We start from the raw sequence: 2,640 nt of genomic DNA on the forward strand, positions 1-2,640 counted from the left end.
CTTTATCATAGATTTTCTTACCAACCCAAACACACACTTTTTTATGCGTTCATTTACTTTGTTTTTTTAGTAGCATTTTTAGATTTTTTTTTCACATTTTCTTTAGCTGTTTGTTAGCTGTTTAATCTTTTTATTCTTTGTGACATTTTGTTGGATATTAAAAGACTCCTAATATTGCATATTAATTTTCTACCCACGACTTTACTGTATAACTTAGTGTTTATAATATTCTCTTCATTTACCTGATATAGTATCAAAAACAAGTAATAAACTTACCTTCTTTCCAATTTCTGTAATTCACTTCTTTCTTTTCTCATTGAAGTTGCTATTTAAATAGCAACACTCAAAGTCACTCTTGAGCTAAGGTGTCTTGATAAATTCATTAGGTCATTTTGGAATTTTTTTTTTTTTTTGTGAAAGCAGTATACTTTAGAATGCTTTGAAGTACTAATGAACAGAATGAATGAAAGCATGCCTAGGAGGGGAATGCCTGTGAGAGAGTTCTGAAACAGAGCAATTGACTTATGTGGCCCTGAGTGTTCCAAGAAATGATGTGTTAACCTCATTTTACCAATGAAGTAATCAAGGCAGAAGCAGCATCAGCCTTTTGTTCTTTCCTTTGTTTTATCTAACATTGTTTGGTTTGCTGTCTTTCTCTTAACCGGTTTCTGATGTTGCTTGAGGTATTTAAGCTGCTCTGGCATCAAGTTTCCCTTTTCGATGGTCTTCCTTTAGTACTAAGGGCTAAGTGTGCTCATCTTCTCAAATATATTATCAGTTAGACTTGGGGGTCCACTGTCCACTTGGTTCTAGTGATCACTCATGTTAATCCTGAAGTGATACTAACCTCTAAATCTAGTTAGTCTCTTGGCACAGCAGGTACACTATTGACCTCCCCTTTGATATGTGTCACATATGGGACAGCATAGTTACAACTTGGTGCAAACTGAGAGCCTTGGCTGTTGCCAACACGGAGATCAGAAAATTTCTGAATGGGATGCAAAATGTGGTTGAGATTATAGCACCAGCATGCCTCCTGAGGGTTCACAGTGGAATGAAGCAAAGAGATCCTGTAGCTGAGGCTGTAGAAAGACATGCTGTATTAGGAAACAGCTATGTGCCTCCGTCCCCGTGCTAGAGTTCAGCTTTTCTGGTGGGACTGAATCCCAGTCCAATATCTTATGAGCAGCCACCTCAAAGGCAAAACTTTCTAATGTCCACATAACCTACTAGTTCCAAACCTTCACTACATATTAAAATTCTCTGGGAAGATATTAAAAAAATTACACATGGCCAGGCATAGAGGCTCACACCTATAATTTCAGCATTTTGGGAGGTCAAGCAGGGAGGATCACTTGAGTTTAGGAGTTAGAGACCAGCCTGAGCAACATAGTGAGACCCTGTCTCTACTTAAAAAGAAAAAAAAAAGAAAAAAAGGTGAGTGTGGTGAGGCTTGCCTATAGTCCCAGCTACTTGGAAGGCTGAGATGGGAAAATCGCTTGAGCCCAGCAGGTCAAGGCTGTGTGGTTGTGTCACTGCACTCCAGCCTGGGTGACAGAGCGGGACTCTGACTCAAAAGAAAACAAACAAACGCATGTCTAGGTTTTAGGTTTCAACTATAAATTAGCAGTTCCTGATTTCATTAGCAGGTTCCACAACTGTGTAGTCAGTCTGAAAATCACTGATATTACTTGGCTGTAAAATATCATCTTTCTTCTTTACTTTTCTAGCTGGCATTCTACCACTCCATAGACACTCCTGGGTACCTATGGTCCAGAATAGCCTGGGTCTATCAATTCCCTTTGGCCATTGTTCTTTGTATTACCTACTTGGTAGATGCTCCACTGTTACCCTGGCCCACCTAATAGTCTATCCAAGTCTGGTAAATTGTTTACTGAGCTATAAGGAGTAAGCATAATTCACACTTAAGTCACTTACATAGGTAGTTAGTAACAAAGCCATCCCAGAAACCAGGTGCACTAACTTCTAGACATCTGTTCTTTGCATTTTGTCTGAATGCTTTTCACTTATTTCATTATTTACTTTACTGTGTTCTGGAGTCTTCCTCTTTCCCGACATTTGGGCCTAGTATACTAACTAAATATAGATTACTGATTTTTTAAAGTAGTTTTTCCTTTGTACTCATATCTCATTTTAGACAATGCTAAAAAGATCATGATTCATTATTTTACATAGTAACTAACATCTGGAGTCAATTAAAATGAGTCTAACTCGTATGCCACATGGTACAGAAGCTGGATGAAGTTTTTTATTGAAGCTAGACATTGGTAATGTAATATGTAATGTATATAGACTCTATCACATTTCATTCCTCATGTCTTTGGACTTAGGTGCTATAAGAAGGCATGACCAGATGATGAAAAATTATGATGTCTTTAATTTTTTCAAAGAAATAACTGTTTTGCTTTCATCTAGGTCCCCAAAATTGTGCTTTAAAATGAATTACGATATGCAAATTATTTTTCATACTCCAAGACTGAAAGGATACTGAAATAAAAGCAAAAGTGTGACAGTGTTGCATACTGATGTTTCTCATAAGAATCATAGTTCTTTTATTTTTTTTCTTTCTCTTTAAACCATCAAGGAACAAGCAAGAGGCCATTTATTGCATATATATTG

At 37.0% G+C, this 2,640-nt stretch overlaps 1 annotated feature.

Annotated features, from left to right (window-relative positions):
- Positions 657-716: an enhancer, noted in NCBI's record as "active region_26212". NCBI's record gives its function as "activates an Ori minimal core promoter by ATAC-STARR-seq in GM12878 lymphoblastoid cells {active_cell/tissue: GM12878}" and the evidence as "EXISTENCE:reporter gene assay evidence [ECO:0000049][PMID:35858748]".

The sequence above is a fragment of the Homo sapiens genome, chromosome 7 (assembly GCF_000001405.40).
Source record: "Homo sapiens chromosome 7, GRCh38.p14 Primary Assembly".
Classification (NCBI taxonomy): domain Eukaryota; kingdom Metazoa; phylum Chordata; class Mammalia; order Primates; family Hominidae; genus Homo; species Homo sapiens.